The sequence below is a fragment of the Homo sapiens genome, chromosome X (genome assembly GCF_000001405.40).
Source record: "Homo sapiens chromosome X, GRCh38.p14 Primary Assembly".
Lineage (NCBI taxonomy): Eukaryota > Metazoa > Chordata > Mammalia > Primates > Hominidae > Homo > Homo sapiens.
The window spans coordinates 155,030,718-155,053,210 of record NC_000023.11 but is presented as its reverse complement, the minus strand read 5'-3'; the positions used below and the strand labels follow the sequence as shown (position 1 = coordinate 155,053,210).

Sequence of the window (22,493 nt, the reverse complement as noted above, 5' to 3'; positions counted from 1 at the left end):
CTTTTTATTATATACACTTCCAGTATTATTTTTAAAGTTTTCAGCAAGGTGCCATGGCTCACACCTGTAATGCCAGCACTTTGGGAGGCCGAGGTGGGAATACTGCTTGAGCCCAGAAGTTTGAGACCAGCCAGGACAACACAGGGAGACCCTGTCTCTCCAAAAAATTTAAAACTTCACCGGGTGTGGTGGTACACACCTATAGACCCAGCTACTCAGAAGGCTGAGGTCAGAGGATCGCTTGGTTGAGGCAACAGTGAGCCATGACTGTGCCACTGCACTCCAGCCTGGGCAACAGAGTGAGACCTCTCTTACAAAATTTTTTTTTACTCACTGTGGTGAGTCACTGTGCCCAGCCATGCATTATTTTTATAAACATTTGAATAATAAAGTTTTCATGAAATAAAAAATGTAACTTTCCTAACTTTGAGGAGAGACAGAAGGAAGAAAGGAAAGAGAAACTATCTGGGCTCTGGGCTCCTGTAGATACCCATCTCTGCCACCTTCCCACTCTGGGTAAAGGCACCAGCTTTGACCAGCCACTTGCCAATCACCAGCACGAAGAGCCACTCACAACATGAGAAGCCTGAGGCGCACACAGGGTATTTCTCCTCCCCTGCACTCAATCTGTCTGTTTTCCCTGTGAGGCTAGAGTGAGCTAATGGGAGAATCTCTCATCACTCCAGGCTACAGAAAGTACCAGCTATCTTCTTGACACCCTGATCCTTGTTTATTTCTCCCCAGTTCAGTGTACTTATTTATTTGCAACATCTGACATATTTCTAAAGGTAATAAAGCAGCAGCAAAAAATATCCTTTTAAAAAGGAAGGACTTCTCCTGTCCCTGCAGTGCCAGGTCATAATCTAACTTGGCTTTAATGAACAAGATCAGGGGTTAGCAAACTACAGCCCATGGGCCAAATCCAATCTGAACCTGTTTTTAAATAAAGTTTTATTGCAACACAGCCACATCCACTTATTTAACATATCATCTATGGCTATTTTGATGATATACAGTGGAGTTGAATACTTGTGACATTTCCACTAGTTATATGCAGAACAAGCAGAGTATGAATGTTTCAGAGATATGCGTGTATAGCGACAAAATGGGACTCAAAATAATTATACTGGCCATATATCCTTCCCACCTACTATGCTGCCCCACATTCCTACAAGAACTGGTTAAAGGGATAATCACTCCACAAATGTGCACAGACAAAGGTCACCAAACAATTATCCAGCTTTTAAAAATGTTCTGAAGTGATGATAATCCAAGTTAGTTTTGTCTCATTACTCTAAGTTCTTTGTAATGCTTAAGCCCTGTCCATCACTGAGATATGGTACAATAGGGTTAAGCCCTGTTTTTGTCTGCACTGTTCACACACTACACGTGAACAATGCAAGTCTCACCTCCTCAGCTTTGCTCCTGACCTCAGTAGGTATCTGATTGCTCTTACGGATCTTCAGCTGCTCTTTGGCTTTCTTCATGTCCTTCTCCACTCGTTGCCAGTCAACTTTGATGTACCCAGTATGGTTTGCAAGCTACAGTATCAACAATAATGACAACAAGAAATGAGAAACAGATTTGTTATTTCTTTTAGTCAGGATAAATCCTGAAGTAGACTCTCGAAACCCTCTGACTTTCCATTTTTGGAGACATCTGCCATTTGATTCTTTGTATCATGATGACATCTACTCAGCATCCCCCCTATATGCGAAGCCATATGCCTGGCACTAGAAATAACTACTGGCAATTCTTTTAAATTATTTATACTCTTACAACCCTTTTACAAAGAGTTACATAAGATGAAAATCAAGGTGGGGGGTCAAGATGTAGGGTGAAGAGATGGACCTTACAGCCAATACAAATGTTTCCAGAGAATGACTCTGACAATGTGCCCATGAGTGTCAGTTTCCTGACAATGTGAACAGAGCAAAGCATTCAGGCAGTTATTACTGTTGCTTAACAGGAAGAAATCTAGCATCTGGCCCCACAGAGATTTCTCATGAGCAAGTTCATATAAACGGATATTAAGAGAACCACATCCAAAGACACCTACAGCATATACCTATTTCCCTTGATAAAAACAGCAGGCACAAACACTAAAACTCAGTGTAAATCTGATTCAAGCATGTAGATTTTGATGATGGATTAATATCATCCTAGGAATGAAGAGAATGACTGTAGCCAATCAATCAATGCCCTATCAATATCACTTCTCTCTACCAAATTTTTGGCAATCTCAAAATATCTGAAACTAAAAGTCTTCACCTTGCTAGAGTCTCCTCCTGCATTGTTGCTCTTCCTCTAGGCCCTATTTTAGCTAATGGCACCACCAGTCACCCAAACAGACTAGAGAAAATACTTGTGATGTGTATCATAAACAAAACATTGATACTCAAAAAAGTGAACTTCTTATAGAGATCAGTAAGAAAGTTCACTTTAAAAATGGGTAAGGGCAATTCAGAGGAAAGTGTCCACAAAAAGGAAAAAGTTCAACTTCACAAGTAATCAAGCCATAGTACCTTTATTTATGAGTCTATAACTGGAAATACACAAAAGTCTATCAACACATGAATGGATAAACAAATTGTATCATATTTACACAATAGAATATTACTTAGTACTAAAAAGAACAAATTACTTACAGCAACCACATAGTTGAGTATCAACATTTGTATCTAAAAGAAGGCTCTGGTTCATTTACTCCACCCTGTTTATCCCACAAAATCCTGCTATTAAACTGAGAGAATACATGGACTAGCTATTTGAAGGCTCTTACATAAAAACAGCGACGTGCAGATTGGAGAAGACCAGAATTCAAAGCACCACCAAACTGGTGGCGTGTTTCCTGCTTTTCCTGCAGTATCGCCTGGCCTAACCTCAAGGCAGGACTCAAGAAACATCTGACAAAATTCAACGCAAATTCATGATAAAACTCTCAGAGAAAGAGCAATAGAGGGGAACTTCCTCAACTTGATAAAGAACATCTACATAAAAAACCCTGCAGCTAACACTGTACAGAATGGTGAAAGAACGAATGCAGGGAACAAGGCAAAGCTGTCCGCCGTCTCCACTCCTATTAAATATCGTACCAGAAGTGAATTCAGAGTCAGCACAACAAGGCAAGAAAAAGAATTAGGAGGCATCCTGATTCACAAGGAAGAGGTCAAACTGTCTCCAATCATAGACATCTTTGTCTACATAGAAAATTTCATAGACTTCAACAAAAAACAAAAACTCCTAGACTAAAAAAGTGAGTTTAGCAGGGTCACAGGACACAAATTCACACAAAACCAACTGAATTTCTATATGCTAGCAATTTGAACTGGAAATGAAAAATGTTTAAATGATTTACAACAATGGGTGCAAAAAATAATTAAATATTAGGTACAAATCAAATAAAACATACAGGATCTGTATACTGAGAACTACAAAATGCTGAAGAAAGAACTCAAAGACAACCTAAATAAATGGAGAGACACATCATGTACATGGAATGGAATACTCAACACAGAAATGATGCCCAGTTCTCTCCAAATTATCCATAGATTTACTGCAATCCCAAATCACAAATCCCAGTAGGATTTCTTATAGATACATAAATAAGCCGGTTCTAAGATTTATATGGAAAGGCAAAGGAACTGGAATCACCAAAATGAATCTGAAAAAGAACAGAGTTGGGGAAATCACACTACCTGATTTAAGATTTACTATAATGCTACAGTAGTCAAGACAGTGTGTCATACTGAAGAAGAGATAGACACACAGACCAACAGAACAGAATAAAAAGTACAGAAACGGACGTGGACAACTACAACAAACTGATTTTTCACAAGGGGGCAAAAGTAGTAATGGTGGTGGTGAAGTCCCCTGGGTGGCCCAGGCCAGGATTGCGAGGTGACTTCCTGCTCTCCTTGGCATTACTGGGGGACTGCACTGCAGGGGCAAAGCAACACCAGAACTGGGAAAAGCAGCCTCTCCCGCTGCAAGGTCCCTCCAGCGCCCTCTACTGACAAAGCTCAACATCCTACTTCCATTGCAGCACAACAAGTAGAGGGAGCCGAATAAACTGAAAACTGGCAAGCGTTGCTGCTGGGCTCTGAAAGCTGCAAAAAGTGCTGGAAATGATCTACAGCTTGGTAAGAAAAAGCAACTACATTCATAAAGACGTGAAGGAAAAATTTCACTGTTCACAGATGGCATAAAAAGATTTTATAGACAAAACCCAAAAGAATCCCAGACAAGACTTTTTTAACAAGGTGGCTGGCTGAAAGAGCAACATAAAATATCAACTGTATTTCAACACACTAGCATGAATCAGAATGTGTAGTTTTAAAAATCGTATCATCCACAAGAGCAACTAAAGTTATAAGGTATCCAGGAATAAAACTGAATCACAGATGTACAAGATCTATACGGAAAAATAATAAAAAGTCTATTCAAAGGCATTAAAGAAGACCTAAATAATTGGAGAGAAAGCCCGTGTTCACAGATAGAATACTCAATATCATAAGAGATATCTACATGGTTCCAATGCAATTCCGATAAAAATTTCAACAGGATTTTTGAAAATAACTGACAAGTCTGATCTAAAATTTAGATGAATGAGCAGAAACACAAAAGTAGCTGCAACACTCCTGAAGAATAAGGTGGAGGAATTTGCATTACCAAATATTAAGCTTTAGTACTGTCATAAAGATCGAAAGTTGACCAGTGGAACAGAACACAGAAACCAGAGTCACAGCCACACATACATGGGTTCTGATATATGAAAGAGACAATGCTGCAAATGTTGGGAAAGGGAAGAATTATTCACTAAATTCTGCTCAATTATCAGTATGGAAAAAAGGAAACTGGATCCCTATGTCAAACTATAACTTGTGATATAACTGATCTCCCAACATTATGCTTGCCTCCTGCTCTCACTCCCCTGGTGACAGATAACATGAGTGCCTGCCACAGATTCTCCATGTCTCACCTCTGCAGCAAAGCAGTGTCCCTGTACCCCTTGAATATTGGAATTATCCAACCCCAAAATCTCATTTTGAGGTGCCTTTCTGGAGACATTTTCAATACCAATTATTTCTGTCAGGGCCCCAAAACGAAACAGAGGACACACTCAAATTAAGACATTTCAAAGCAATATTAAAATGTTTATGAAGTTTGGGGCAGCATATAAGGGAAACCACAGGGATAGAGATGTTACTGCACTTCCACCTGAAGGGTCAAGGGGAAGGAGAGAGAGGTGTGAGGAGGGGCCCCACCTTGCAGGGAGTCTGACCTGTCTAGCAACAGAGCCAGCACGTAACAAGCCCACAGGGAAGCAGCCAACAAAAGTGAGGCTTGGGCAACAAAGGAGATGCAACTTGCACCATGTTTCTGCAGAACTGTGCTTGGGAGTCCTGAGGTCATGGTAGTGTGAGGAAGCCTATACTGGCACAGGGACCACATGGAAGAGCACTGAGACTATGGACAGGGGGGAAATAAGGAGAGGAGGAGGGAAGACAAACAGAGACAGAGACACAAAGAGGCCCCACAAGTCCAGACCTACCCTAACCCTCTGATCATCTGGCCTGTAACCACATGAGACTCTGATCCACAAGCACCTACCTTAACCCTCCCCAAACTCCTGTAACCATGAGAGAGAATAAAGTGATCATTATTTGAAGCCATTAGGTTTGGGGGAATTTGTCATGCAGCAATACCACACTCAACCCAGCTACAGCCAGTTACCAGCTTCCCTCTTCGATACATTTGATTTTCACCTGACCTATCTGCAAAACTCACTCCAATCATGGTGCTAATGCAGAACTTACCTTGCAAAAGTGAGGGTTGCCAACTGTGGGAAGAGACAAACGGCTGTGAATTCAGAGACTCTGGCATGATTCAGCAAGTTATGGCTCCCACAGCACAGCAGAATCACCTCAGGAGTTTTAAGTTTTCCAATGAAATCAGACTGTGGGTCAGGAGTGGCACACGTTGGCTCTTTTAAAAACTCCTAGGTGATTCCAATGTGGAGCCAAATTTGAATACCAATGCCACAGAGCTAAGAAATGTATGCCTAATACAATCAAATGTCAGTTTTCTTTTGTTTTTGGAGAAACTGCTCCCTTTTTCAAGTCTTGCTTGTTAGTCTCTCCTAAGCAGTCTCAGAGAACTGGCAACCACTGGTTCTGAAACTATGGGTCAAGGAGACAGCAGACGACATCTGACTGTACTGTCACTTAGCTCCCATTTCTCATCACATGCTCAACATCCCCTCTGTGAAAGCTAGCTATAATATTAGCATATGACACTAAATCATCACAGCACACTTGTATTTTTGAAATCACATCCGCTTAATAATTCAGCTGGTCTTAAAAACTCTTTTAAGGGAGCTATGATAAGGAATTTGCACTTCTGTCGCCACATGAGGAAATAAAATGGGACTGGCAAATAACATTTACTAGTATAATGAATAAAATTTGACTCAAACGGTCACTAGCATTTAAAATAGTACATGAAAACAAGTGCTAAGGCTAGTCTAGTGTGACATAGCCAGGACTGTATTACAACTCCCCACACCACATTCCTTAATGGGCAGGTGGAATTTCCAAACATCTGAGAACATTTCACATACAGACCTGAAGGAGAAAAAATCCACCTCCCACAGCTGTTGCAGCCAACTTTCCAACCTTCTGGAATATGAAACCTGTGCACCTACAAAAACAAACCAACATCAGACAAATTGATGAGCTGTCAGTTACATACAAACATGCATTTCTGGCAATGTTCATATCTTACTTAGCTTAAGATGACCTAGCTCCTTCCTACCCCCTACATAAAGCCAGCCCCAAGAGGAGCATGACATAAGGAAATCAAATCTTGGCTCTATGAATCTTGTGGTCTTGAGTAAGTCCCTTAAAACTCTCAGGTTATATTTTTAAAAGATGACTCTGGCTACATTGTGGAGAAGAGATTAAAGGGGGAGGACGAAGGCAGAGACTCTAGTTAAGACGGTGAGGTAGCGATCCAGAAGAGAAGTGAATGCCAATGGGCCGAGGTAGAGATGGCAAGGAGGGAGCAGACCTGAGGAACTGTTTGTGAAGAAAAAAAAAAACACTCCTGAGTTTGAGGACAGGATGGTTGCAAGGGATAAGGCACAAGATTCTGTCCTGAATGTGGCATTTTTTACAATATAAAAACAAGGAAGAGGAATAGAGGAAAAGGTGGGGGAAGGGAGGGGAGGAGATAATGTCATTTTGAATATGTTGAATGCAAAATGTCCATATGATATCTGAGTGGCAACATCTTGTAGCCAGTTTAATATAATTATGTGTTTCTTTATTACTGTCTATCTTCCTGCCCCCACCCGATACTAAAATGTAAGCTTCATGAAGGCAGAGATTTTGTTGTTTCATTGCTGAACACCTATCAGCTGTAATCATTAACCATTGTTGAAAAAATCCTCCCTAGACTCCAATTCTCCAGCCCCCTTCCCTTTTCTGTGCTCTCCTTTACAGCAAAACTACTTTGAGGCCGTCTCTTTTGTCCTGTGTCCATATTCTCTCACACCTACACCATTCAGGCTTTTGTCCCATGACTTCAATGAAACCATTCCTATCAAGGTTACCACTGATCTTGACCTTACCAAATGCTAGTGTTCACTTCTCAGCTTTAATCTCATCTGACCTACAGCAGCTTTTGACACAGTTGATTACTCTCTCCTTTTTTTAAAAAAGGTATTTTATTGTGTATATTTGAGGTTTACAACATGATGTTATGGGATACATATAGACAAGTAAAGTGGTTACTATAATGAATCAGATTAATATATCTATCATCTCACATAGTTACTTTTTTGTGATAAGAGCAGCTAAAATCCACTTAATTCACAGAAATCCCTAAGGCAATACAATTGCATTAGCTGCAGTCCTCATGCTGTACATTGGATCTCTCGACTTGCTCCTCTTACATATTTGCTACTTTGTATCCTTTGACCCACATCTTCCCATTTCCTCCCATCCTATCCCTGGTAACCAGTTTTATTTCTTTATATTTATTATATTATACAACTGTATATATGACTTTTTCCCCACACATATGAGATCATGCAGTATTTTGTCTTTCTATGTCTGGCTTACTTCACTTAGCATAATGTCCTCCAAAATCTATGCTATGGCAAACAGCACAATCTCCTTTTTTAAGGCTAAATAGTATCCCATTGTAGACACATTTTCTCTATCCATTCATCCATTGATGGACACTTAGGATGTTTCCATATCTTGGCTACTATAAATTAATGCTGCACTGAACATGAGAGGGCAGATATCTTTATGAGGTGGTGATTTCATTTCCTTGGGGTATATACTCAGAAGAGGAATTGCTGGGTCGCATGGTAGTTCTAATTTTAATTTCTTTAGGAACCTCCATACTGTTTTCCATAATGGTTGTAACAATCTACATTCCCGCCAACAGTGTACTAGGGTTCCTTTTTCTCCACACCCTCATCAACAATTATCTCTTGTCTTTTTGATAACAGCCATTCTAACAAGTGCCAGTTGATATCTCATTGTGCTTTTAATTTGCATTTCCCTGATAATTGATGATGCTAAGCATCTTTTCATATACCTCTGGTGGCCATTTCTATGCCTTCTTTGGGGAAATGTCTGTTCACGTCTTTTCCCCATTTTTTAAATCAGGTTATTTGTTGTTCTGCTATTGTACTCTCTCCTTCTTGACATCTTTTTGCTCTGGAATACCATTCTCTCTTGGTTTTCCTCATATATCACTGGCCATTCCTTATCAGACAATTTTGCTGAGTCCTCCTCTTTCTGACTTCTGAATGTTAGGTTGTTCTGAGGCTCAGTCCTAGAACCTCTTTGCTCTGTGTATTCACTTTCTATCTGCTGGGTCTATACCATGATCTCTGATGTAGGTTACTGTTACAGCTCCTCATCTGGACTTCTTACCTCCACTTTCACCCCCTAGAATCTATTCTCAATATAGCAGCTCATACAGTCCTAAAACAGGGGTCGACAAACCGCAGCCTGGGAGCCAAATCCTGCCAGATGTCTCTTTGTAAATCAAGTTGCAACAGAGATTGTGTGATCCATAAAGCCTACAATATTTACCATATGGGCTCTTTACAGAAAAACTTTGCTGACCCCTGCTCTAAAATGTAAGATCAAGGTACACTTCTGCTCATAACCTTCCAGTAGCTTCCCTCCTCACTAAGAGAGAAAGTTAAAGCCTTACACTTAACATCTTGTCTCCCATTACCTCACTACCCTCATTGTCTACTGTTCTCCCCTTATTACATTTCAGCTCAGTAAGAGAAAGAATTACAAATACAACAATGCATGGAGAACCTCATAAGACTTTTAATCTTTTTTAAACAAAAGTTAGATGTCAGGCAGTATATTTCTGAAGCGACTCTGAAATTGGAAGGGTGGTAGGACCAGTAAATAAATGATAAGGGTCCATTTTAAGAGCATTCCACTGTTCAGACTTACTAAAGTATAATCAGAGTAACTGACATATTTAGAATGGTTACAGATTTTTGCTGTTACAAAAATTGTTGCACTGTTTACAACACCTGGCTTTTTCTCTTTTTAAAACAAAACACACATTTTAAATAAAGCCTAATAACAAAGCAAGACCCAAAAAGATCAAGTGATTTCTAAGTAACTGCATCCAAGAACAAGAATCAAGCACATTTATAAGAATAAAAAATATCTAGCACCCAATGAAGTAAAATTCATAATATCTGCCATCTAATTAAAAACTACCAGGCTTGCAAGGCAGAAAAATACCACGATCAAAAAAAAATAAACTAAAAGAAACCCAGAAATGATACTGATGAAAAAATTAGTAGACAAAAGCATTAAAAGTTATTACAATTATATTCCATATGTTCAAGAAGCTAGAGAAAAGATTGCACATAATAAGTAGAGGCAAGGAAGCTCTTTTAAAAACATGCAAATCTTGGCTGGGTACAGTGGCTCATGCCTGTAATCCCAGTACTTTAGGAGGCCAAGGCAAGAGGATTGCTTGAGCCCAGGTGTTTAAGGCCAGCCTGGGCAACATAGTGAGTCCCCATCTCTCTAAAAATAACTTTTTTAAATTAGCCAGGCACGGTAGCATGCACCTGCAGTTCCACTATTCAAGAGGCTGAGGTGGGAGGATCTCTTGAGCCCAGGAGGTAGAGGTTGCAGTGAGCTGTGATTGTGCCACTGCACTCCAGCCTAAGCAACAGAACAAGAAAGTCTCAAAAAAAAAGATGCAAATCAAACTTATAGAAATAAAAACTACAATGTCCGAGACGAAAAATATAGCAGTTTAGACACTGTAGAAGATTAATAAACTTCATGAAATAGCAATAAAAACTATCAAAAATGAAACAGAAAAGAGACAAAAAAATGAAAATGGTTATGATACTGAACTATAGTTAGACAAGATGCTACCATAGGGGGAACTGGGGAATGGGTATAAGACCTCTATGGATTATTTCTAACTGCATGTGAATGTACAATTATCTCAAAATAAAGTTTCTAAAAAGTAAACAGTATTAATGAACTGTGGAAAAACTTCACACACCCTAATAAATGTGTAATTGGAATCACTGAAGGAGGACAGAAAAAAATATTTGAAGGACAACAGAAAATATTCCAAGCTTCGTGAAAACTATAAACCCACAGATCCAAAAAGCTCAATGAAATCTAAGCAAAAGAAACAAAGAAGGCCAGGCATGGTGGCTCACACCTGTAATCGCAGCACTTTGGGAGGCTGAGGCAGGAGGATCACCTGAGGTCAGGAGTTCGAGACCAGCCTGGCCAACATGGTGAAACCCCATCTCTACTAAAAATACAAAAATTAGCCAGGTGCGGTGGTGCACACCTGTAATCCCAGCTACTCCACAGGCTGAGGCACGAGAATCACCTGAACCTGGAAGGTGGAGGTTGCAGTGAGCTGAGATCATGCCACTGCATTCCAGTCTGGGTGACAGAGAAAGAGTCCATCTCAAAAAAAAAAAAAAAAAAAAAAAAAAAAAGATAGAAAAAGAAAACTATAGCAAGGTACAACATAAACAAACTGCTTAAAACAAATGGTAAAGAGGAAATCTTTTTTTTCTTTTTTTTCTTTTTTTTTTTTTTTTTTGAGACGGAGTCTCGCTCTGTCGCCCAGGGTAGAGTGCAGTGGCACAATCTTGGCTCACTGCAAGCTCTGCCTCCCGGGTTCACGCCATCCTCCTGCCTCAGCCTCCCGAGTAGCTGGGACTACAGGCGCCCGCCACCACGACTGGCTAATTTTTTGTATTTTTTAGTAGAGACGGGGTTTCACCATGTTAGTCAGGATGGTCTCGATCTCCTGACCTCATGTTCCACCCGCCTCAGCCTCCCAAAGTGCTGGGATTACAGGCGTGAGCCACCATGCCCGACCTAGAGGAAATCTTAAAAGGAGCCTGAAGGGGGGAAAAAAGAGGCATTAGGTACAGAGGAATAAAGTCTGAAGTGAACACATTTCTCACAGAAAATAATACAAAGCCAAAAGACAATGAAATAACATTTTTAATGTACTGAAAAAAAAGCAACAACCCTGTCAATCTAGAATTCTACACTAAGTGATCTTGCAAAAACAGAAATGAAATAAAGACCTTTTTCACAGATACAAAACCTGAAAAAAAAAATATCCCCAGCAGACCAGCAATATAAGAAATGTTAAAGGAAGTCTTTCAGGCAGGGGAAAATGATATCATATAGAAATCAGGATCCACACAAAGGCATGAAGAGCACAAGAAATAGAAACTATGGAGTAAAATGTGAAAGGCTTCCTTCTTGTTATTAAAAACTATAAAAATTCAACATTTAATGCAAAAATAATAAGAATGTATTATGAATTTACATAATTTTAAAAGTAAAATTTATAGCAATGAAAACAAAGGGGGAAGGGGAAAATGGAAGCATACTGTTATATCATATATGAAGCGTTAGATTTCTTGAAGGCAGACTACGAGTAGAAGATGTCTCCTATAAACCCTAAAGCAACCACTAAAATTACACAACAAACAGTTATAGCTAATAAGCCAACAAAGGACATAATTATGAAAATATCCATAAAAATAGAATTATGAAAATGGAATTGAAAATATTTGATCTAAGCAACAAAAAAAATAAATTGGACCTCATCAAAATTAAAAATAAATTGGACTTCATCAAAATTAAAAACTTTCTTGTATCAAAGAACATTATCAAAACAGTGAAAAAGACAAGTTAGAGAACAGGACAAAATATTTGCAAATCGTGTCTGGTAAGGGTCTAGAATCCAGAACATATAAAGAACTCTTACAACTCAATAACAAAAAGATAAACCCAATTAAAAAATGGGCAAAGGACTTGAGTTGACATTTATCTGGAGAAGATATACAAATGGCCAGGAAGTACATGAAAAGATGCTCAAAAGTTAGGTGGGTCCTCAAAAAAGTAAACATAGAATTATCATATGATCCAACAATTCCACTCCTGGGTATATACAAAAAAATAGAAGACCTAAAAATAGGTATTGAAAAAATACTTATACCCAATGTTCATAGCAGCATTATTCACAACAGTTAAAAGGTGGAAATACCCCAGATGTCCACCAACAGATGTCTGGATGAACAAACTGTGGCATATACATACAGTGGAATCCTATTGAGCTATAAAAAGGAATGAAGTAGCAATATATATACACTATAACATGCATGAACCTCAAAAGCATTATGCTAAGTGAAAGAAGCCAAACACGAAAGTTCAGCCATTGCATGATTCAATATATATGAAATATTCAGAATAGGTCAATCCATAAGGACAGAAAGCAGACTGTGGTTGCCAGGAGTTGTAGGAAGGAAGAATTAGGAGTAACTGCTCAGTGGGTACTCAGTTTTATTTGGAGGTGATAAAAGGATTTTAAAACCATATAGAGATAGTGGTTGTACAATATTGTGAATGTACTAAGTTGTACTATTCACTTTAAAATGGTTAGTTTTATGTTATGTGAATTTCACCTCAGTATATATGTTATATATGTACGATTAAATACCAAGATGGTAATTTTGAACCCAGTAATAACAAAAACAAACGTCCCACTTACAAAAAATATACACTTATGAATAAATCTAGCCAAGAAGGCAAAAGGTCCATACACTGAAAACTACAGAAGGCTGATGAAAGAAATTGAAGACAACACAAATAAACAGAAAGATATTCCATGTTCATGAATGGGAAGAATTAAAATTGCTAAAATCTCCATACCTCCCAAAGCAATCTACAGATTCAATGCAATCCACATCAAAATTCCAATGACATTTTTCACAGAAAGAGGAAAAAAAATCCTAAAATTCACATGGAAGTACAAAAGACCCCTAATAGCCAAAGCAATCTTCAGCAAAAAGAACAAAGTTGGAGGCATCATCATACTACCTGATCTCAAAATATACTACAAAGCTATAGTAACCAAAACAACATGGTCCTGGCATTAAAAACAAACACATAGACCAACGGATCAGAATAGAGAGCCCAGAAATAAATCCACGTATTTACAGTCAACTGATTTTTGACAAAGATGCCAAGAACACACAACAGGGAAAGGATAGTCTCTTCAAAAAATGGTCCTAAGCAAACTGTTTATCCACATGCAAAAGAGACCCTCATCTCAAACCATTGCAAAAATCAACTGGAAACAGATTAAATACTTAAATATAAGACCTGAAACTGTAAAACTGTTAGAAGAAAACAGGGAGAAAGCTCCATGACACTGGTCTGCACAAATATTTTTTGGATATGACCCGAAAAGCAGAGGCAACAAAAGGCAAAAATAGACAAATGGGATTACATCAAACTAAAAAGCTTCTGTACAGCAAAGGAATCAACAGAGTGAAGAGACAACCTAAAGAATGGGAGAAAATATTTGCAAAGCATATATCTGATAAGAGATTAATATAAAAGATATACAAGGGATTAAACAACTCAATTGTAAAAATACAACCTGATTTAAAAATGGGCAAAGGACCTGAATAGACATTTCTCAAAAGAAGACATACAAACATACAAATGGCCAATAAATAAGGTATATGAAAAAAATGCTCAACATCACTAATCATGAGGAAAATGCAAACCACAATGAGCTATCACCTCACACCTGTTAGGATGGCTATCATCAAAAAGACAAGAGATAACAAGTGTTGGTGAGGATGTAGAGAAAAGGAAATCTTTGTACACTGTTGGTAGGAATGTAAATTAGTAGAGCCATTATGGAAAACTGTATGGAGACTCCTCAATAAATTAAAAATAGTAGAACTAATAACATATGATTCAGCAATCACACTACTGGGTATACAGCCAAAGGATATGAAGTCAGTACATTAAAGAGGTATCTGCATTCCCGTGTTCACTGCAACTATTCACAATATCCAAGATAGAGACAACTTAAGTGTCCATCAACAGATGGATAATGAAAATGTGGTATATTACATAATGGAATACTGTTCAACCCTTAAAAAGGAAATCTTGATATTTGTGACAACATGGATTAACCTGTAGGACATTATGCTATGTAAAATAAGTCAGGCACAGAAAGACAAATACCAAATGGTCTCACTTATATGTGGAATCTAAAAAAAGTCAAATTCATAGAAACAGAGAATGGTGGTGACCAAAGGTTGTGGGGTGGGGCGGTTGGGGAAATGTTGGTCAAGGACACAAAAATTCCAGTTAGGAGGAAGAAGTTTAGGATATCTACTGTATATCATGGTGACTACAGTTAATAACAACATATTATATATTTGAAAATTGCTATAAGAGTAGGTTTTAAGTGTTCTCACCACAAAAACATGGTAAGTATGTGAGGTAATACATGTTAAATAGCTTGATTTAGCCATTCCAGAATGTATACATATATCAAAACATCATGTACGCCACAAATAAATACAATTTTGGTGTTGCTGTTTTGTTTCCTTTTTGAGACTGGGTCTCATTCTGTCACCCATGCTGGATGGAGTACAGTGGCATGATCTTGGCTCACTACAACCTCCCCCTCCCAGGTTCAAGCCATCCTCCCACCTCAGCCTCCCAAGTAGCTGGGACTACAGGCGCATACCACCACGCCCGGCTAATTTTTCTATTTTTTGTAGAGATGGGGTTTCGCCATGCTGCCCAGGCTGGTCTCAAACTCCTGAGCTCAAATGATCCACCTGCCTCGGCCTCCCAAAGTGCTGGTATTAAAGGTGTGAGCCACTGCACCCAGCCTACAATTTTTACTAGTCAATTAAAAGAATTTTAAAAATAAACTTAAATGTAAATAGTCTAACCACCCTAATTTAAAGGAAGAGACTGTCAAATTGGATTCTAAAAAATTAACAACCACCTATATGGAACCTACAAGAAACCTACTTTACATGTAAAGACTCAGCTGGGTGTGGTGGCTCACGCCTATAATCCCAGCACTTTGGAAGGCTGAGGCAGGCAGATCATTTGAGGTCAGGAGTTTGAGACCAGCCTGGACAATATGGTGAAACCCTGACTCTACTAAAAATACAAAAATTAGCCCGGTGTGATGGTTCACGCCTGTAGTCCTAGCTACTTGGGAGGCTGAGGCGAGAGAATTGCTTGAACCTGGGAGGCAGAGGTTGCAATAAGCCAAGATCACACCACTGCACTCTAGCCTGGGTGAGAGAGCGAGACTATGTCTCAAAAAAAATAAATAAATATAAATATAAAGACTCCACAATACCCTATTCCATGTGCCTCTTCCCTTGGCTGAGTTAATCTGTATCATTTTCTGTTAAAAAAATAAAAAATAAAAAAATAACCCTGAGTGGAACAGCTCTGAGTTCTGTGAATTCTCCTAGAGAACTATCAAACATGACAGTGGTCTTGGGGACCCCTGAACTCTGCAACTAGTAAGTGGCTTTTAGCAAGACTACAATATACAAGATCAATATACAAAGAAAACTATTGCATTTCTATATACTATACAAGCAATGAACAATGGCAACTTGAAATTTTGAAAGTAATACCATTTATAATGGTATCAAAAATATGAAATACTTAGGAATAAATCTGATATAAGATGTGTAAGATCTACAAAGCATTGCTGAGAGAAATTAAAGAAAACCTAAACAAATTGGAGAGATACACCAATGTTTATGGATCAATGCAATCCCAGTCAAAATCTCATCGGGTGTCTGGCAGAAACTGGCAGCAACCTAATTCTAAAATTCATATGGAGGAGTGTATAAAAACAAGATAAAATTCAGATGGAAATGCTAAATACCTAGAATACTCAAAATAGCTTTGATGAAAAACAAAATTTCAAGACTTGCATTACCTAAGTTACAGTAATCAAAACAGCATGATAATGGCACCTAGATCAATTTGGCAGTACAAAGAGCTCAAAAACATATAGTCAACTGATTTTCAACATAGGTGTAAAGACAATTCAGTGGAGAAAAAGACAGTCTTTTTTTTACAAATGTGGGGACAACTAGATACCCATACGCAAAAAAAACTTGGATTCCTACCTTATACTATATACAAAAAGTAAATCAAAATGGATCACAGAACTAAATATAAAATCCGAACCTATATACAATCTAGAAAAAGCGAGAGAAAATCTTGGTGACCCTGGATTAGGCAAATATTCTCAGACATGACACCAAAAGCTGGAGCTACAAAAGAGCTGCACTTCAAGATTAAGAACTTCTGCTCTTTGAAAGGTACAGTTCAGATAATGAAAAGCTACAGAGAAGTAATATATTTGCAAATCACATATCTAAGACTTCTATCCAGAATATTTAAAGAACTCTCACGATTCAGCAGTGAAAGAAAACCAACAACCCAATAAAAATATGTGGAAAAAGATTTGAACAAATAAGTCATCAAAGATATATGAATGGCAAAAAATAAGCCCGTGAAAATGCTCAACATCATTAGTCATTAGAGAAACGCAAATTCAAACCACAATGAGATACAACTTCATACCCACTAAGATGTTCGTAATCAAAAAGATAATACCAAGTGTTAGTAAGGATGCAGAGGAACTGGAACCCTCACACATTGCTGGTGGAGATGTAAGATGGTACAGGCACTTTAAAAACTGGCAGGTACTTGTAAATTTAGAACATTCACTTACTACGTGACTCAGCCATACTATTCCTAGATATTTACCCAAAAGAAATGAAAGCATATGTTCATACAAAGACTTGTACACTTGTATACAAACTTGAAGTTTTATCTGTAACAGCTAAAAAGTGAAAAAAAAACTCAAATGTCCATCAAAGGTGGATGGAGAAACAGATTGTGGTACATCCATACAATGGAGTACTACTTAGCAATAAAAAGGAATGAACTGTTGATAAACAGAAAAGCACAGATTATCTCAAAATTATTATGGTGAAGGCTGATGCAGGAGAACTGCTTGAACCCAGGAGGCGGTGAGCCAAGATCGTGCCACTGCACTCCAGTCTGGGCAACAGAGCAAGACTCCGTCTCAAAACAAAAAAATATATTATTATGGTGAATAAGAGAAGCCAGACAAAAAAGAATATATACTATGTAATTCCACTTCTAAAAAGAATCTAGAAAACATAATCTATAGTAATAGAAAGCAGATCAGTGGCGGGAGGATGGCATGAAGGAAAGAGCGTGGAATTACAAAGAGGTACAAAGCAGCTTTTGAAGTGATAGGTATGTTCATTATCTTGACTGTGGTGATGGTTTTATGGGCATGTACATATGTAAAAATGTATCAAATTTTATACTTTAAATATGTGCAACTTATAATATACCTATTTATTAAATTTAAAAACTAAGAGATAAAGAAAATAGCCAAGATGTTCCTAAAGAACAAGATAGCAGACACACACATATGCATGCGCACACACACTCACATAAAGCAGCGGGGAAAGGGATAGCTTTCACAATAAATTAAGTTGGGACAAATGGGTATTCCACATGGGGAAGAAAAGAAGGAATCTACCACATACTGAGCACAATAACAATTCCAGGTGGATAATAAATCTAAATGTGAAAGGTCAAATAATAAAAGTTCTGAAACATGGGGTAGGCAAAGATTACTTAAATAAGCCACAAAAATCACTAACCATTAAGGTTAAGATTGATAAAATTGACTATATTAAAAATAAGATCTTCAGTTCATCAAAAGATACCATAAAACGAAAAGATAACCACAGAATGAGTGAAAATATCTATAATACACACAACTAACAAAGGACTGAGAATATTCAGAATATATAAAGAACTCTTACAGCTTAACAAGGGAAAGAATGACAACTTCAGAGGAAAAAAACTAGAGTGGAACTGAAAGAGGAGATCCAAATGGTCAACAAACATACGTAAAAGTCGATCAATGTCACTCCTACTCAGGGAAATGTAAATGAAGCCACCATGAAATACTACTACCTAACTACCAGACTGGTAAAATTTTTATAGTCTGGATTTAACTTGATTACCTCGCTAAGGAAAAATTAACTAATTTTTTAAAAATTTAATAGCCTGGCAAAATCAAGTGCCACCATGTAGAACAACAGGTTCATTTGGTCCTTGCTGGGACTGTAAACTGTTAAAAACAGTTTTGGAAGGTGGTTTGACATTATTTAGTGAAGCTGAAGATACCTATACCCATTACCTAGCAATTTCTAGGTACAGACCCTACAGAAATGTATGCACATATACACTGGGAAATCTAATACTCATATAAGCATAGTATTAGCCAAAAATGGAAACAACTCCAATATCAGTCATCAACTGGATATACTGTGGTATATTCACATAATGGAACTCAAAATACAAGTGAAAGTGAAGAAACTACAACTATACACAATGTAGTTGAATATATGAAACATCAGGTTGAGCGAAAAAAGCAAGACTCAAAAGAATACATACTGATTGCATTTACTTTAAGGTGGAAAGCAGGTAAACCACAGTATGTTATTTAGTGACATAACTGGTGTTAAAACTACAAAGAAAAGCAATGAAATAACTGCTTAATAACCTCTCGAGTTTCTAGGGCGCTAGCCACGTTTTTTTTAACCTTAGCAGTTGTTACATAGGTGTTCACTCCAAGTATTTGCTAAAATGTACACCTGTTAAATGTGCTGTTCTATATTTGCTATATGGTGCTATAAAATTTTTCAAATGTAAAGAGTCTATGAGATTAATGGATTCAATATTCACCTATGAAATTTGCTATTACTTTTTGAATTTATTACAAATGAAACCATAAGCTGTGTCACATTAAGTTATCATCTGACATAGCTAATAAGTAGTTAGCTCCTTATTCTACCAGTTACCAGCTATGTGGCCTTGGGCAAACTAACCTTTCTGAGCCTCAGTTTCTATAAAATGAGGATAGAAAATAACAGTACTAATTCCAGAGTTGTGAGAAGGAAATGAGATATCTATGTAAATACTTCAAACAGAACCTGGCATATAGGAAACAATCATTATGTGTAACCATTAAATGGTACTTTAAGATGATGTTTAGATACATGCTCCACATTAAGTGACCAATTTCACAGAAGCCAATGTGTTTTCACTGGTTAAAGGAGATGATGGTACCTATAACTGCAATACTAAATCATGCACAAAAGACAGTGGACATCTTTCACATCACTTACCATCCAGTGACACCTCCAATGAACAGCTGGGTTGCCACGCTATACTTTTCTGCTGAAGGTCCAGATTCCTGCCCGAACAGCTTACGCCACCATGGCTGCTTCTTAGCAAATTCCGCAAGGTCCAGTGACTCAAAATTTCCCTCAAAGTTTCCTACAAGAAGTAATACGTTAAATAAGAAAATATTTACTTTTATACCTAACTAGATTGAGATATTTAAAGAAACAGACATAAATGTAATAAGAAACCTCCAAATATTCTATTTTAAATAGTAAATTTATTCTAAGTTGCAATTTTGGAAAATCAGACTAAAATCAGCAAATACTAATGTCTATATTACAGGGAAAAACCTAGAAAATCTCAAATTAGTCCTCTAGTTTGTCCTCTCAAATTTAAAAATAACAAAAAAGGCTGGGCGCGGTGGCTCACGCCTGTAATCCCAGCACTTTGGGAGGCCGAGGTGGGCGAATCACCTGAGGTCAGGAGATCGAAACCAGTCTGGCCAAAATGGCAAAACCCCATCTCTACTACAAATACAAAAATTAGCCAGGCGTGGTGGCAGGCACCTGTAATCCCAGCTACTCAGGAGGCTAAGGCAAAAGAATTGCTTGAACCCAGGAAGCAAAGGTTGCAGTGAGCCGAGATAGTGCCGCTGCACTCCAGCCTGGGCAACAGAGCAAGACTCCATCTCAAATAAATAAATAAATCCAAAAAGACCTATAAAAAACTGCCAGTAATGCATCCCAAATGAAACAAATTTGCCCCTTCTCTTCAGAAGTAGCTCAATGCTATTCAGTAATCCACAAATTTTCTAAGTACTACGTGGATCTCCAGTGATAATGAAGATGAGAGGGTAATGTTTAATTGAGCTCTTACTATTTACCAGGCAATGTGCTAAACATTAATCATGTACATCTAATTAATCCACAGAATAAGGTAGGTACTACTTATTAACTCAATTTTATAATTAAGAAATGAAGGCCAGGCATGGTGGCTCACACCTGTAATCCCAGCACTTTGGGAGGCCGGAGGCAGGTGGATCACCTGAGGTCGGGAGTTCAAGACCAACCTGACCAGCATGGAAAAACCCCATCTCTACTAAAAATACAAAATTAGCCGGGGGTGGTGGCACATGCCTGTAATCCTAGCTACTCGGGAGGAGAATCACTTGAACCTGAGGGGCAGAGGTTGCGGTGAGCCAAGATCGCACCACTGCACTCTAGCCTGCGCAACAAGAATGAGACTCCATCTCAAAAAAAAAAAAAAAAAAAAAAAGAAGGCACCAGGCGTGGTGGCTCACGCCTGTAATCCCAACACCTTGGGAGGCCAAGGTGGGCAGATCACCTGAGGTCAGGAGTTTGAGGCCAGCCTGGCCAACATGGTGAAACCTCGTCTCTACTAAAACTACAAAAATTAGCTGGGCATGGTGGCATGCGCCTGTAATCACAGCTACTTGGGAGGCTGAGGCAGGAGAATCACTGGAACCGGGGAGGTGGAGGTGGCAGTGAGCCGAGATCGCGCCACTTCACTCCAGCCTGGGCAACAAGAGTGAAACTCCGTCTCAGAAAAAAAAAAAAAATGAAATGAAGGTTCCAAAGTTAAATGATTTGCCCAAGCATGGAGAAAGACTTAACAAAATGTCAATCCCTTTCTCTGTGGGAAGATAATGTCAGGCTCCCCTACTATACCCAGCCCTGTTTCCCTGGAAACACACCGCACTAAGAAATGTCTGATATGAAATGTCAGCAATGTACTATTCAAAGCTGTTTACTGTAAAATTGACCTCAAATGATCAACTTCATCTGGCATGGAGTGTGTACAATCTTTTCACACATAATGTAACAAACAATAGAAAATGACTACTACCCATGCAAAGGCAAAGCCATATAAAGGAAACAAAATTTGTTTAAATAAAAGAAATAGAAGCAGGCCAGGCACGGTGGCTCACGCCTGTATCCCAGCACTTTGGAAAGCCTGGGGGACGGATCACTTGAAGTCTGGAGTTCAAGACCAGCCTGGCCAACATGGTGAAACCCTGTTTCTACTAAAAATACAAAAATTAGCTGGGCGTGGTGGCATGTGCCTGTAGTCCCAGCTACTCGGGAGGCTGGGACAGGAAAATCACTTGAACGCGGGTAGCGAAGGTTGCAGTGAGCCAAGGATCGCACCACTGCACTCCAGCATGGGTGACACAGCGAGACTCAGTCCCAAAAAGAAAAAAGAAAAAGAAACAGAAACAGAAACAGAACCAGTGATGATCAAGATGCTGAAGTAAGCAAATAACAATGATCAAAAACTGCTCAAAAGATTAAACATATATGTAATTGGAGTTCCAGAAGATTAGAAAGAATGGGATAGAAGTAATATTCAAAGAGGTACACAAAAGTTATTCAGGCCGACAAGAAATGATGCCACATGGAAATATGGAAATGCAGAAAGGAATGAGACACTGGAATGGGCAAATAGGTGGATAAATCTAAATGAATACTTACTGTAAAAAAATAATAATTACAGAAATTTTATACTTTAAAATCAAAGAAAAAAATCAGAATAAAAAGTAGAAAATAGGGGCTGGGCGTGGTGGCTCATGCCTATAATCCAAGCACTTTGGGAGGCCGAGGCGGGTGGATCACCTGAGGTCAGGAGTTCGAGACCAGCCTGGCCAACATGGTAAAACCCCGTCTCTACTAAAAATACCAAAAATTAGCCGGGCATAGTGGCAGGCGCCTGTAATCCCAGCTACTCAGGAGGCTGAGATGGGAGAATTGCTTGAACCTGGGAGGCGGAGGTTGCAGTGAGCCGAGATCAGACCACTGCCCATTTTCCTGGGCAACAAGA

General features: G+C 38.6%; 1 protein-coding gene across 1 annotated transcript in view; it reads right to left on the bottom strand.

The window, feature by feature from the left end:
• FUNDC2 (FUN14 domain containing 2) overlaps positions 1-22,493 on the bottom strand; it is a 33,461-nt gene that overhangs the window by 7,094 nt on the left and 3,874 nt on the right. The window contains exons 2-4 of the mRNA NM_023934.4: positions 19,658-19,808; positions 6,627-6,702; positions 1,410-1,541 (exon numbers count right to left, since the gene is read on the bottom strand). Coding sequence (NP_076423.2) covers positions 1,410-1,541; positions 6,627-6,702; positions 19,658-19,808 — 359 coding nt within the window. The remainder of the gene's footprint in view (positions 1-1,409; positions 1,542-6,626; positions 6,703-19,657; positions 19,809-22,493) is intronic.